Below are 14,777 nucleotides of genomic sequence, written 5' to 3'. Positions count from 1 at the left end.
TTCTAAAGATTATAGAGAACAGTACTAATGGATTTTTTACAAGAAACTAGAGTCCTGCCAGATAATAAAAACATATAAAACAAAAAGTAAAAACTTAACCCTAAATGAAACAATTCTGGACAGATTACTCAGACCCTAAAAGAATTTATCATACAGTCAAAAAGGCATCCATCATAAAGCCCCGAAAAAGGAATGAGTTATGTAATCAATGGTATTGATACAGCTTAACATCTAGAAAAGAACTTAGATCCACGTGATGCTGTAAACCAAAGTAAATTCTAGATGGAGTAAATATTTTAAAAATTAAAGTTTTTAAAAAACGAATTACAAAGGCCTGAATGGGAAATGAAAAGCCTCAAAAGGCACAAAAATACATGATTGTATAAAGTTTCTGTATGTATAAAGAAATGACAAAAAATATAGAGCCCATATAAATGTCCTCATCATAAACGGACCCAAGTCATGAACAATTCACAAAAACAGTATAACTAAAAATGGCGAGGGGTATTTAACTTCACTCCTTTTAAAAAGTTAGCAATTAACTATTACAGCTAATGTATTAGACAAAATTTGGCATATATTATTGATAATATGATCATGCAGTTAGCATCATTCATACAATGCCTGGTAAAGTTCAAAAGAGCTAATGATTAGAGTTCTTACATGTGCCAGGACCTGTTCTCAGTACATTAGAGATACACAACTGAGGTAGATGCTATATTTCACTTTACAGGGGAGGTAATAGGCCAGGAGAGGGGAAATAGCCAGAACACAGCTAGGAATAGGGAGCCCCAGGATGCTAACAGGCGAGGCAAGCAAGTCCCCAGTAAACTAGTAATTGAACATTTTTCGTTCTATTTTAATTCGATACAACACCACTTGGAAAATTAATATGGCAAAGATTCGCTAACTCCACTTCTAGTGATTTAACCCAAAGGCATGTGTATTGTGGGAAAGATAAAACAACTATAAGGAAATAAAAGCAAAAGCCTGAGGCTTAGGGATGTTAGGCTCCTCGTTATTAGTGATGAAAAGTGCTTAAGACTGAAGTGGGTGAGCCATTCAAAGCTTTGTTTCAAATGATCATGAAGGCCACCGCTCCCGGAAAACCTTTGCGCTACAAAAGAACAGGACAAAAACGAGAAAGAGAAAAAACCAACACAAACTGTAAAAGAAATTAACACTTTCAATTTTAGTATTTTCAACTATACACATTTTTAAAGGCTCGAAAGAACATTTAAATACGTTTTCACCTCTTTCCCCCAAAAAAACCTTAACTTTTTTTTCGAGACAGGGTCTCGCTCTGTCGCCCAGGATGGAGTGCAGTGGTGCGATCTCGGATCACTGCAACCTTCACTTCTCGGGTTCAAGCGATTCTCCTGCCTCAGCATCCCGAGGAGCTGGGATTACAGGCACCTTACAGGCCTCCCAGAGTGCTTGGGACTGCAGGTGAGAGCCACCGCGCCCGGCCTCCTTCACTTTCATTTGAACTCTCTTTACCAGGAACTGTGTTAAGTGCCCTACCTTTCTTCTTTATCAAAACGACCCTATGGTGCACTGTTATCCTATTTTACCGACGAGAAAACTTCGGCCAGCGCAGCAGCTAGGGCTCAGTCCCGAAGCCTCGCGCTCTCAGTCCGAGAGCAACCCGCGGGCCGTCTCCTAGGAAACCGGGCTCGCCACACCCCTTGGTCGAACCCCACTTCCGCTCCTGCGCGCTGAGGCTCCGGCGGACCTCTGGTGGACATGGCTGCTTCCCGCTTACCCCCAGCGACGCTAACGTTAAAGCAGGTACCGGCGGTTCTCTGCCTTCCAAAGCAGCTTACCTGGGTCTGAGCTGGATTCTCCATCTGTCCCTATCCCCAACGGGGCGGGTTCCGGGGTCCTGATGCGGCGTGCGCGCCCTCTGAGATTGGCCCGATGCCTGCGGGGCGGTGCTTCGCTCCGCGGGGCCTGACGGGAGGCACTGGCTGCTTCCTTGGTTTGGTGCGATCGCGTGAGACAGCGTCAGGCGCTTGATTTCCCTGAGTCCCGGTGCCTCAGCTGCCCAGTGCCCACGGTAAAAGTCTATTGCACTGAGCTGTGGCAAACAGCAAATGAGATTACCAAAGATTTGAACAACTGTTAATTTAGAAAAAGTGCTGTCGTTGTAATAACAACTTCTAGGAGACCGGCAGCCCTTTTCAGCCCGGTAGGCAGCTCCTGATTTTTTAATGGTTCTTAGGTTTGACAGAGCAGTAAGCAAAAAGATCAGATGAACCTCGTGATGCTTTCTTTAAAACATCTTTTTGAGACAGGGCCTCACTCTCGCCCAGGCTGAGTGCAGTAGCGCAATGAAGGCTTACCTCAGCTTAGACCTCCTGGGCTCAAGTGATCCTCCCATCTTGGCCTCCCAAAGTGCTGGGATTACAGGCCTGAGCCACTGCATCTGGCCAAAAAAAGAAAAAAAAAAGTTTTTCTTTGCCTTTTTCAAAATTGACCAACGAGAAGTACTCTGGTTACAGCTTGGTTTGCTGAAGTAGAACTTTCCAGGCTGGCGATTGTGCAGTAGTAATTGCTATTTACTCCTCCCTTTTACAGTTCGTAAGAAGGCAACAAGTTCTTCTCCTCTACAGAAGGATTTTGCAAACAATTCGGCAAGTTCCAAATGATTCTGATCGCAAATACCTGAAAGATTGGGCAAGAGAAGAATTCAGAAGAAACAAAAGTGCCACCGAAGAGGTGAGAACAAAATCATGGTGAGGACAGATCCTAACCCTTTTTATTGATCAGTGAATTTTTTTTTTTAAGTTTAGCAGACATCTTGGAATATAGTGCCACTGAGCTGGTATATCTTGATCATTGCTTGTAATGTTACCGATTTTAAATTATTATTTTAAAATTTAGTATTTTAAAATATGTAGATAAAAGAGTATCTACACTCTTCAGCATCATCACTTGACTTTTATGTTGTACATTTTATATGTATGTATGTGGAACTCTTTTAGCTTTTCTAAAAGGCAGCAGTTCCAATAGGTAGTATTGGTTCTTGATTTTAACAGATAAAATGGTATAGCTATACCTTGTTTAACCAGGTAAAACTATAACCAGATTTCACTTTATTCTACAGGATACAATCCGGATGATGATTACTCAAGGCAATATGCAGCTCAAGGAGTTAGAAAAAACACTTGCTTTAGCAAAATCTTAACTATAGCATTATTCTGAAGGATTTTCAAAGTCTCCATGTGTTTTGTTGCATTTAGGATTAACAATGGACAACACAAAGCCCAGTCTTACTATTTATATGTACAGTATTTGGTGATAGAGAGCAAAGGAAAAACACATCAGAACAGTTGCCTTAACACTGAAAAACATACCCTGCATTTTGAAAATGTTTATGGATGTCTCAGCAGTTCTTAAAAGAAGAAAAAAACCACTAACAAATGGCCAGTAGATGCTGGACACAATCATTAGGGAAGTGTAAATCAAAACTACTATGAGGTCGGGTGTAGTGGCTCATGCTTGTAATCCCAGTACTTTAGGAGGCTGTGGTAGGTGGATCACTTGAGGTCAGGAGTTCAAGACCAGCCTGGCCAGCATGGTGAAACCTCATCTCTACTAAAAATACAAAAATTAGCTTGGTGTGGTGGTGCATTGCCTGTAGTCCCAGCTACTTGGGAGGCTGAGGCAGGAGAATCACTTGAACCCAGGAAGTGGAGGTTGCAGTGAGCTGAGGTCGTGCCACTGCACTTCAGCCTGGGTGACAGAGTGAGACAGTCTCTAAAAAAAAAAAAAAAAAACAACCCTGAGATTCACATTCACTAGAATGGCTGTAATTAAAAAGAGAAATAATAATAAGTCTTGGTGAAGATGTACAGAAATTACAGAACCCTCATACATTGCTGGTGGGAATGTAAAATGGTGTAGCCACTTCAGAAAACAGACGGTCAGTTCCTCAAAAGATGAAACAGCTGCTGTATGAGTTAGCACTTCTACCCCATGCCCATAGCCATTATTTGGCACTAAAAAGAAACGAAGGACTTATATATACTAAACATGGATAAACCTTGAAAACGTTAAGTGAAAGAAGCCGGTCACAAAAGATCACATGATGATTCCATTCATACGAAATGTCCAGAATAGGCAGAAAGATTAGTGGTTGCCTAGGCTGGCTGTAGATGGAATGGAGTAACTGCTAATGGGTGTAGGGTTCCTTTTCAGGGTGATGAAAATATCCTACAGTTAGCTTGTGGTGTAGGCTGCACAACTCTTGAATATATTCAAATCCACTGAACTGTACATTTTAAATGTAAGGTATGAATTGTATCTCAATAAAGCTGTTATTAAAAAACTCTTGAGGTGTAGGACTGAAAGTATACTGACACCAGGAGATACCCTGGAACTTTCTCGAAAAATCCTGCATTATCCCTGAGGGTTGTTCAGGTACGTTCTTCAGATGTGTCATAGTTTGATAGAGAACTCATCAAAAAGATCACCACTGGGAATCTAGATCTTTGTTGAAAAGGGAAGAGAAAGAGAAGCTTAATGAGCACATTGAAGCACTTACCAGAAAGAAGAGGGAAGACTTCTGGATGAAACCTCTGTGAGTACCTTAACATTCACATGGAAGTAGTAAAAATAAGATTCTGGGTGCAGTTCTCCAATGACAGGAAAAAAAACAAAGAGAATTTGAAGAATACGTCAGAGACAAATACATTACAACCAAAATTGACTTCAAGGCACTTTTGAAGGAGATCAAATTTATAACAAAATAATTTAGTGAAAGTGAAAGCTTGTGGAAGATGTTGGAATCATCCATCCTGAAAATTGAAGTCTTCTGTTTATCAACAGAACAGCTAAGAAGCTAATCTAAGAATGACCAGCACCTGAAAGATGTAGACAACATTTTGCAGAATGATAAATGGTATCCAGTACTGGACTGTGTCTGAGAGGCATCAACTGAATGTGGATGTTAATGACCTGGACTGTCAGGGTCCACCTCTACCTCCCAGAGCCTCAGAGCCCACAAGACAAAATAATTCTGAATACTGTTCCATGGGGGTAATCTACTAATTCAAAATGCCTGCCTGTGCCAATTTTCAGGTTTTTATGTAGATAAGTATTAGTTAACCTGTTGCAAAATGATCTGACAAACAGAAGCATTTGTGACGTTTCTGAACAGAGAACACTTTGGAAATATTTTTTGTGTGACATGATTGATAGATACATGCTATCTCTAGTAAATCTAAAATCTTGAAACTCAAAATCATCCTTTTATGGGTGTAGAAGTCAGTGATTTAATGATGCTCTTCCTAACAGTGGTGTGCATGGAAAGGTTTTCATTAAAGAGCGTATGTGGTTTGCATTTGCAAGATTCAACTAGCACAGACTCCAAGAAAACCTAAGTTTTTTTGTTTTTTAAAGCAGGTAAGGCCGGGCACTGTGGCTTACACAAGTAATCCACACACTTTGGGAGGCTGAGGTGGGTGGATCACTTTAGGTCAGGATTTCGAGACTAGCTAGGCCACTAGCTAGCCTAACCTGGTGGCACGTGCCTGTAATTCCAGCTACTCAGGAGGGCTGCCTCATATTGAACCCGGGAGGCAGAGGCTGCAGTGAGCCGAGAACACACTACTGCACTACAGCCTGGGCGAAAGAGTGAGACTCTTGTCTCAAAAAAAATAAAAAAGTGCCATCAAGTTAGAAGTTTTAAATTCATGGTACAAGCATTGCCATAGATGTGCCTGCAAGAAACACACAGATGACTTTTTTTTGAGACAGGGTCTCTGTTGCACAAGCTGGAGTGTGGTGGCGCGAACATGGCTCACTGCAACCTTGAGCTCCTGGGCTCAAGAGATCCACCTGCTTCAGATTTTCATTTAGCTGGGACCACAGGCATGTGCCACCATGACCGGCTAATTTTTTTTACTTTTCAGAGAGAGGAGGGGGAATCTCACTTTGTTGCCAGGCTAGTCTCAAACTCCTGGGCTCAAGCAATCCACCTGCCTCGGTGGCCAGAGTGCTAGGATTACAGGTGTGAGTTGTTTTTTTTTTTAAAGAGACAGTCTTACCTCATTCTGTCACCCAGAATGGAATGACTTTCTAAAATTGCAGAAAGCAGAACATATTCCTTGCTGTTTATAATATTATAGTCGTATCAAAGGGAAAGAGTATTTCTCCTTAAATAAAATTACAAATAAGAAATGTATGTTTTACTCTTACTCATAAAAGGTATTGTAGAATACAAAAGGTTTTTCAAACTGGTTTTGTCTTTGATTGGCTTTTATAATCCACACTTCAAAGAAGAAATGCATTTAACTTTTAATAACTTAGTCAAAAAGTATAATGTTGCCTTGCCTTGCATAACCTTTAACTATTGCAAATGATGTTTTGTCCTTCCCCTTTGTCCAGTATTTTCCAAATGGTCAACAGTTTAAACATTTAAGCTTGCACTGAGAAACCTTGCCACATTTCAGCAGTTTTGTTTTGCTTTTGGTGGAGAGCACCTGATCGCGACTTTACAGCCAATGTATTTACTCTAAATTACACTTTTATAGATACAAGGTAAAGTGTAGCTGGGTGAAGGCACTCAGGAGCCATAAAATGTGGTCAACCACAATAAATTAAAATGTAAGCTAAACAAAGTATTCACACTTGCATTTTTTTAATAAGGAATTTAAGATCCATAGTATCTTTAATGCTTGGAAGAGACACAAATTCAAGGTGATAAAAATATTAATTAGAAGACACATAACATGCCTCAAGTATATCAACACTTGACTCCACAAACAAGGCATAACCATGAAAACAACACTCCCTTTATTTTGGGCTCCCAAAATCAAAAGTTAGAACTAATTTATTTAATCACAGATATTTAGTATACTCAATAATGCACTAACAATTTCTTTAAAAAAACACTAATACTGTACAGTATTTCTGTGTTTTAGTTTTTCCCACAGCTGTTGAAAATTTCAGCCTTGATTTGAAACATGACCTGCATGACAGGCTATAAGTTGTCAATAGTTCTTTTTCTTTGGAAAAGTACAGTTGTGGCATTTACTCACTTTAGCAGATAGCTAAAAGGGAAAAATAAGGAAAAATATACACTGGACCTGCAGTTAAGTTTTTGACAATGCCAAGGATCAAAAACAGATGAAACAACATTTGCTGAAGATGAAAAGGTATTGCATTGGTCTTAATAGATGTTGCCATCTCTGGGTGAGGATGCTGACTGAGCCTGTTCTGTGTCTTCATCACCTCTATTTGTTTCTTCTTCTACGACAGACCTCCAAGAGACAAGATCCATGTAGTAAGCCACACTAGGTCCTTTTGACCCTTCTCATTCTTCTGTAGTCTCTTCCCTGTGACTTTTGACAAAAATACTCAGTTCACAATATTAGCTGCCTGCTTCTGATGGGTAGGAGGTAATCAAAATACTCCCACCAAAGCACTCTATGGTCTAGACTTGATACTTAAAATTTAGTTTTCAGCATTCCTCAACAAGGATACCTTGAGGTAATAGGAGATATTTTGGTAAGTGAAAATAATTCCTGCTTGGAACACAGCCTACTGAACTCAGGATTTAATTTCTTGAGTATTAGGCAGTTCTCAATAAATTGATGTATACTGAGGAATGATTCTAAAGAGGTTAGTGATATCCTGTTTGAGAATAGATTTAGAAAACTGAAGGTACTCTCCAGCTCTACAATTCTGTATTAGGAACAATAGGGAAATGAGAAAGTGCCTCTATATTGCAATCTAATGAGTCTCTGGGGGAAGACTGTCTACCTGCGTAGTAGTTGAGAACAAGACAAGCTCCCAAACACATGAAAATCAACTTGAAATAACATCAAATTCAGCCTGGGCAATATCATGAGACCTTATATCTACAAAAAATTAGCCAGGACTGGTGGCACACGCCTGTAGTCCCAAGCTACTTGCGAGGTTGAGGCAGGAGGATCACGAGCCTGAGAGGCCAAGGCTGCAGTGAGGTGTGATCATGCCACTGCACTCCAGTCTGGGTGACAGAGCAAGACCCTGTCTCAACAAAATAAAAAACATCAAATTCATTCCATATTCAGGTAACAGTGACATATATCTACTGAATTATTTTTCTTTTAGGAATGTCTATATCTATGGATTGTCACTATAAAAAAAAGAAAAAACCCTAAAACTGAGCTTGACAAAGGGAATAAAAGCATACTTTGTTTTTCTTGGTGTCCCCATGTTAATAAATCATTTCTTCTCTTTGGCTCAATGAGCAGCATTTTATTACAATTACGTTCAATAGTCACTAGGTTCCTGTGTCTATAGAAATAGAACTGAAGTTTCTGTGCATACATGGGATATTGAGGAGATGAATATAAATCCCATATTCCAAAGGACAAGAAGCTTGTCCAAAGTTTCAACATATCCATGCTACTTTTACAACTTTGTTCTGTGTTTATATTTCATTATGGAACAAAGTAAAGTCTTCTGGCCTCCATGAAGTTGGGGAACAGTGGGGCCTAAGTTGAGTTATCGAATATTTTGCCTTCACCGCAAAGCAGTAGAAAGCTTTTGAGGTTAATGACAGAATTCAAAATGAAATACTTTCAAAAAATAGCCTTATTCATTATAAAATGTAGAGCAAAAATCTCAAATTCAGAAAGGTATTCTGATATAATTGGGTTTGATTAGGAATAGGTTATAAATTTTCAGGTAATTGTTACATGAATTTTTTTCCATTAATCTGCTTTAAAATCACTATATAACTGATTTTTTGACTGAAAATACAGAAAATAACAAACAATTTGAATCTTTCTCATTTGATCTCATTGTTTCCAGAGCTGTTAGCCAATTATTCATTATTTAAATAAACTGACTTTTCAATAAATTTTATCATAAGATATATTGGATCTTGTGACATCATGAAAATATTTCTCCTCAAAAATCTGATAACTTTTCATGTGATTAAAATGTCAACAGTTGGAGAATTACGAATTTGAGAAAGAGGGTTTATTTAGCACATCTCAGAGTTACAGCTCTTACAGAAAGACACTTGTCTAGGCACAGCAGGTGTGTTCAAATTTATATGAATGACTACTTGAGTTCAGACGGGATTACGTTTTTCTTGCTTTTGACTTATATTATTTCACACATCTTGAATTTTAGAGTCTAGGCTTACACATCGTCCAGTTTCTTGGCATGGCTTGCTTAATCTGAGCTTTCAAACTTCAGATTAACCTGGACTGAGGCTAAGAGTTTATAATGAAACCCAAAACTAAGCAAGCTTCCCCTGGTTTCAGTTTAATTGTTGAAGTCTTCATAACTTCCTGGGCATAGGAAACATGTATCTGGCACATTGTAGAATTAGTGATTTTTTTAAAAAGGCAAATCTGCAATATATACAATAGTTGACTCCTTGGGCATAGCTATTATGCAGTTGCAAAACTGGAAATCTTCAAGAATCCTTTCATATTTCCTCTTTATTGGTGCTAATTTTCCTTCTGCACCCTAGTCCTTAGTTTGGCAAGTTCCTCTTCTAAACTTTTAATGTGTTCCTTCAATGTAGCCTTATCTTGCTGGGCTTTCTGATTGGCTTGGCTTCGTGCTTCTTCAATCTTCCTTTCATACCACTTTTCCATCTGGGTAGAAACAGCCTCAAAAAAATACTGGGTAAGCTCCAGAGCTTGGGAGGTGTCCCGAATGTGAGGGCCAGTCTGCTCGCTGCCTGTGGCTGGTGGCGGCTGCCCACAGGTGCTGCTGGCTGCGGGTTGCTGGGCACGATGCCTTGTTGGCCCACTCTTCCCAGACTTCTTAGTTTGAGTGCCTCTGTTGACGCAGGGCCCAGCCTGCTGATCAGATCTGGCTGCCTCATTCATGGGTAGCAAGGCTGTCTGGACCTTGACGTTTCTCAGTCGGGAGCCTGTACAGTCAGAAGACGACAGCTCCTGCTGGAGTCTCTGGGTAGCAGTGGAGTTGAGGGCCTTCTCTTTGGGCCTAACCACTGGAGGGGAGCTGTCGGAAGCTGCTGCTGGACCTGCAGTCACCACTAATTGGTCCACACCTGGTTTCAGAAGGAAAACAAACGTGAGAGCAAATCCACATTCACACAGTCATATGGCTGCGGGTCAGTATTTTAGAGTCTTAAGGATCCTGTATATCACCAGCCTTCTCCATCACCACCCACCATGTGTAACGTCTCCTCTGAGCCTTTTCTCACCTTTCTGTTCCTCCCTTCCACTTTGTCTCCTCTGATGATCACTTTGGCTTGTCAGAGCTTTCATGGATTCTGTGTTAGCCACACTGGTCCCATTTAAGCCAAAAAAGTTGCTGGCTTTTCCTTCAGCCCGCCTCAATCTACCTGAGAAGGCTCTGGTCCTGTTTCCTGATGCCTAAGGATGATGCCGCTCACCAAGTATCTCAAAGCAGATTTGGACATTTATCTATGAGAATATGTATTCCCATTCTCTAATGTCTGGGCCTATTCCCTACCAGTGTACTAACTGCTTGACCCAAGCTCCAATTTGGAAAGGAGGCCCCATTTTCCACACCCAGAGCTCCACGACAAGCCCTAAGAGTAGTCCTAGCATGAAACATTTTCCTGGGATGTTTCCCCATGTTGTTGACACAAAGATGAAACCACAGTTCCAGAGATGGCCTGTGGTAACACAAAGCACTTATATCAAAATCCCCCACTGAGGCCTAGTTACCCAGGCTCTGAATGTCCTCAAAATTGTCATTATTGAGTATAATCACTGTGGCTAATGTAAAGATGGTTTGCTTGCAGCATTTCCTATCTAGCACTGGGGGCAAGTTCTATGTAAGAACTGCTGTTTAATGAGGATTTGCATAGTTGGACAAAAGTAAAAGGCAGATCAAAGAGAAGGAAGAGGTAAAAGGCACAAAAGGCAAGGGAGGAAGAGCCCTGCTGAGGAGACCGATGGATCTTCATCACCTCTCATCTTTGGGGTCCACTCTGATACTATCAACACTGTACTCAAGGCAATGTTATCACCAGTCAACAATTCTTTAATTCCTTTATTCAAATAAGTTTGAGCACATAAATGAGTGCTTTATTATTACATAGCAACTGAGTATATGGTTACGAGCAAAATACAGTCCTTGCCCCTACAGAGTGCACTTTACCATCCAGTGTTTCCCACAGCCCTAGCATACGTACTGCCTTTCAGTGCAGGAGAGTACAAGAGCTGCTGGTCGTGTTCCTTTTGGACAAAAGGGCTCTCTGTGTGTGGGTTACCTGTAGAGGACTCACAAGTAGATGGTGTGGATTTAGCTCTGCAGGCCCTAGAATCTCCAGAAAGCTTCTGCTCCAGATTCTGAATCTTTAACATGCACCAGGTTTTTAATTCATCCACCAAGGATATCTTAAAAAAAAAAACAAACCCCACAAATAAGTACATAGAAGAATCAAGTGAATTTGATACATGGTTTATGAATTAAAGCATCAAGGATGGACTTTTCAATTATAACAGTTGAGGATACCATCTAACAAACCCAAAAGTTATGGCTTGCCCACTGCTATGGTTTGGATATTTGACCCCTCCAAATCTCATGTTGAAATTTGATCCCCAGTGTTGGAGGTGGGGCCTCATGGGAGGTGTTTGTGTCAAGGGGGTGAATGCCTCATGACTGGCTTGGTACCATCCTCACGGTTAGTAAGTTCTTGCTCTATTAGTTTTTTTTTTTGTTTGTTTGTTTGTTTTTTGAGATGGAAGTCTCGCTCTGTCGCCCAGGCTGGAGTGCAGTGGCACGATGTCGGCTCACTGCAAGCTCTGCCTCCTGGGTTCACGCCATTCTCCTGCCTCAGCCTCCCGAGTAGCTGGGACTACAGGTGTCCACCACCACGCCTGACTAAGTTTTTTGTATCCTTAGTAGAGGTGGGGTTTCACCATGTTAGCAAGGATGGTCTCGATCTCCTGACCTCGTGATCCGCCCACCTAGGCCTCCCAAAGTGCTGGGATTACAGGCGTGAGCCACTGCGCCCATCCGCTCTATTAGTTTTTGAAGGAGTTGGTTGCTTAAAACAGCCTGGCACCTCCCTCCTGTCTCTCTTGCCTCTTGTCTCGCTAGGTGATCTGTGCATACCAGCTCCCCTTTACCTTCTACCATGAGTGGAATTTCCTGAGGCCCTCACCAGATGCAGATGTTGGCAGCATGCTTCTTGTACAGCCTGCAGAACCATAAGCCAAAGAACTCTCTTCTTTACAAATTACCCAGCCTCAGGTATTCCTTTATAGCAACACAGACAGATTAAGCCACCTTCCTATAGGCCACAGCAGGCACCCAAGCAGAGAGCTATCTACAATCTTCATTAAGTGACTAGAGCCACCTTAAACTCAACCCCCAAAACCACCCAAATCTTCCAAACCAAGTACTTCTGGTTGCTTAGAAAGCCTGAGTTCTCACACACTCACTGTACTCATTCCATGTCTCTTATCTTGGTGAGACAGTAAACTCCCTGAGGGTAGAAACTATGTCTTGTTCTAAAACTGTAATGGCCTAACAATGCACAATACATGGAATGAGTTCAGGACAGAAATGGCATCTTCCCCAGCATGTTCGGTCTTCATCTGTTGCCAGCATATTCAGCCACGGACATAAACAGAACTACAGGTTCTTTTCTATTAACCTCATTTCAGTATCATAAAAATGATACACTATATAATGTAAAAGCTCTTAGGGAGTCTCAGCCTCTGAGTTTTCAGTGGCAGGCCTGCCTGAGCTCAGTGGGCCTGTGTGGTAAATCATAAGTTAAGGACTAGCAGATGCTGGTTCCTACCTGTCGTTTCTCCCCCTCATGCTTCTCTGTGTCTGAGTGCTGTTGCAGGCGGTTCAGGCACTCCGTCCTCTCTGCAGAAAGTCGCTCAACCATCAGCTTGTCCAAAACACGCATCTAGGAGTGAAGTGGAGCAGAGTGTAAGACTGAGATGATCTCAGGGTGAGCCCTGGCTTCTCAGCTCCTGCAGAGGGGCTTGGGGAACCAAGTAGGAGCCCCTGCATGCAAACTTCAACCCCTTATCTGATTCCATTTGCATGTAGGACTCATGGAACTCTTTCAGAATTCTTGAGCATGTTTCTATGAGGCCAACGTTTCGTTTTTTAAAAAATCTTATTTGTTAAAGTTTAAGAGGTATAAGGACTATGAATATACAGGCCAGGCGTGGTGCGCCATACTCCCACCACCTGAGGTCAGGAGTTTGAAACCAGCCTGGCCAACATGGCGAAACCCCATCTCTACTAAAAATACAAAAATTAGCCGGGTGTGGTGGCACATGCCTGTAGTCCCAGCTACTTGGGAGGCTGAGGCAGGAGAATCATTTGAACCTGGAAGGCAGAGGTTGCAGTGAGCCAAAAAAAAAAAAAAGAGAGAGAGACTCTGAATATCCAGTAAATACACAACCTGAGCCCATGCAGGCCTTGTAGGCCTTAAAACATTATTTCCCAGACTACTGTAAGAAAAAACTACATCTCAAAGTATGGAGATTTTTCTCTTCCCCAACCCCACTTTAAAAAATGTTAGTGGTTGCCTACAAGGCAGTAAAATGAGCTTTTATCCGGCTCTTGCAGTGAGCAAATATTTTTGGTGCTTCATTGGAAGTAGCTAAAGTACGTAAGAAGAGTGTAGAAGGAACTTAAAGGATTGCTTCAGAGAACAAGCAGTTGTCACTTTTTAATCACATGCCCTTCTGGAGTACCCTTCATCTTGGCATTTCCTGTGGGACCCCTACACCTAGGAGGGCCAAACTTTCACTGCTTTGACAAGGACCAAAGAATGAAAGGAACTATTGTTAGGAAGAGCCAATCCGCGAAGGCTCACTGGTGAGCTCCCCTCCTGTCAGGGACACACGTGGCATTCCACACCCAGATGTTCAAAACATTAAGAAAAAAGAAACATCCGTTCTGGAGACGTGGTGAGCACCTTCTGTTTTTCTCTTCAGTCCATGTTTTCCTGTGACCTGTGCTCCTCCTGTTTTCTAGGATTGGCCTACTCTCCCCACTCCCTTAACCTCTTCCTCCAGGTGGCTGTTTTCAAGAGCAGCCATAGGTATACATTGCTTTGTTCACAGGTCACACTAACTGGCTCGGGTATGAGCATCTGACTCAAGGGTGCCACGGTCCTTTCTTGGTGATTTGGAAGGAGGACTAAGATTCTACACCCCAATCTGTCACTCCCTTGAACTGAAGTGAGGCCCTTGAGGTATCCCAACATTCATCTCTCATTCCTCTTTCAGCTTAGGCTAGGCGAAGTGGGGTTTTTATATACAAAACAGTCTTCACTAATCTATTATTGACCTAAGAAAATATTTTTAAAATGGCCTTTCTATAAAATACAGATAGCAAATAAGCCTTAAAAATGTTTCATCTTACCAGTAAACAAGGAAATAAAACTTAAACAGTAAAATGTCCTTAATCAATTTGGCAAAAACTTTTTTAAAAAAAGGGCAGGGCATGGTGGATCACACCTAAAATCCCAGCACCTTGGGAGGCCAAGGCAGGCGAGGCGCTTGAGCCCAGGAGTTTGACACCAGCCTAGCCAACGTGGTGAAACCCCGTCTCTACCAAAAAAATACAAAAATTAGGTGGGCATGGTGGCGTCCGCCTTAGTCCCAGCTACTCAGCAGACTGAGGTGGGAGAATCGCTTGAACCCAGGAGGCAGAGGCTGTAGTGAGCTGAGATTGCCACACTGCACTCTAGGTGACAGAGTCAGACCCCATCTAAAAAAAAAAAAAAAAAAAAGTTGTAACAAATACTATTTTACGAAAACCGAGAAAATCTGAATATGGGCTGG

The 14,777-nt window shown here is 41.6% G+C and overlaps 2 protein-coding genes and 1 long non-coding RNA gene across 56 annotated transcripts in view, besides 3 other annotated features; 1 reads left to right on the top strand and 2 right to left on the bottom strand.

The window, feature by feature from the left end:
- Positions 1-1,931, bottom strand: part of MDN1-AS1 (MDN1 antisense RNA 1) — a 50,950-nt gene extending 49,019 nt beyond the window's left edge. Inside the window, exon 1 of the long non-coding RNA NR_111915.1 lies at positions 1,827-1,931. This is a non-coding gene — a long non-coding RNA (MDN1 antisense RNA 1). The remainder of the gene's footprint in view (positions 1-1,826) is intronic.
- On the top strand, positions 1,716-8,239 carry LYRM2 (LYR motif containing 2). 4 transcript variants are annotated; one of them, NM_020466.5, is made up of 3 exons: positions 1,716-1,791; positions 2,581-2,721; positions 3,110-8,239. In NM_020466.5, the coding sequence occupies exons 1-3, from the start codon at positions 1,747-1,749 to the stop codon at positions 3,188-3,190; spliced, it is 267 nt and encodes an 88-aa protein (NP_065199.1). In that variant the 5' UTR covers positions 1,716-1,746; the 3' UTR covers positions 3,191-8,239. The 4 variants fall into 4 exon arrangements, 1 of the variants encoding a protein (NP_065199.1); NR_028495.2 differs by lacking the exon at positions 1,716-1,791 and adding an exon at positions 1,978-2,059; NR_028494.2 differs by lacking the exon at positions 1,716-1,791 and adding an exon at positions 1,978-2,191.
- Positions 1,769-2,968: an enhancer, noted in NCBI's record as "BRD4-independent group 4 enhancer chr6:90347214-90348413 (GRCh37/hg19 assembly coordinates)". NCBI's record gives its function as "activates an origin of replication core promoter dependent on BRD2, P300/CBP, MED14 and CDK7 cofactors, and independent of BRD4, by STARR-seq in HCT116 cells {active_cell/tissue: HCT116}" and the evidence as "EXISTENCE:reporter gene assay evidence [ECO:0000049][PMID:35650434]".
- Positions 1,917-1,966: an enhancer, noted in NCBI's record as "active region_24830". NCBI's record gives its function as "activates an Ori minimal core promoter by ATAC-STARR-seq in GM12878 lymphoblastoid cells {active_cell/tissue: GM12878}" and the evidence as "EXISTENCE:reporter gene assay evidence [ECO:0000049][PMID:35858748]".
- Positions 2,187-2,416: an enhancer, noted in NCBI's record as "active region_24829". NCBI's record gives its function as "activates an Ori minimal core promoter by ATAC-STARR-seq in GM12878 lymphoblastoid cells {active_cell/tissue: GM12878}" and the evidence as "EXISTENCE:reporter gene assay evidence [ECO:0000049][PMID:35858748]".
- The window catches only part of ANKRD6 (ankyrin repeat domain 6), a 200,683-nt gene continuing 192,534 nt past the window's right edge, over positions 6,629-14,777 (bottom strand). For 36 of the 51 annotated variants that reach the window (XM_047418408.1, XM_047418410.1, XM_047418412.1 and 33 more), the window contains 3 exons: positions 12,767-12,880; positions 11,225-11,351; positions 6,629-10,030 (listed from right to left, as the gene is read on the bottom strand). In XM_047418408.1, the coding sequence (XP_047274364.1) occupies positions 9,459-10,030; positions 11,225-11,351; positions 12,767-12,880 (813 nt within the window). In that variant the 3' untranslated portion in view covers positions 6,629-9,458. The remainder of the gene's footprint in view (positions 10,031-11,224; positions 11,352-12,766; positions 12,881-14,777) is intronic. The other 15 variants (NM_014942.4, XM_047418398.1, XM_047418409.1 and 12 more) reach the window with 2 other exon arrangements.

The sequence above is a fragment of the Homo sapiens genome, chromosome 6 (genome assembly GCF_000001405.40).
Source record: "Homo sapiens chromosome 6, GRCh38.p14 Primary Assembly".
Taxonomy (NCBI): domain Eukaryota; kingdom Metazoa; phylum Chordata; class Mammalia; order Primates; family Hominidae; genus Homo; species Homo sapiens.
Note: the sequence above shows the minus strand (reverse complement) of the source record. Positions and strands in the feature narration are given on the sequence as shown.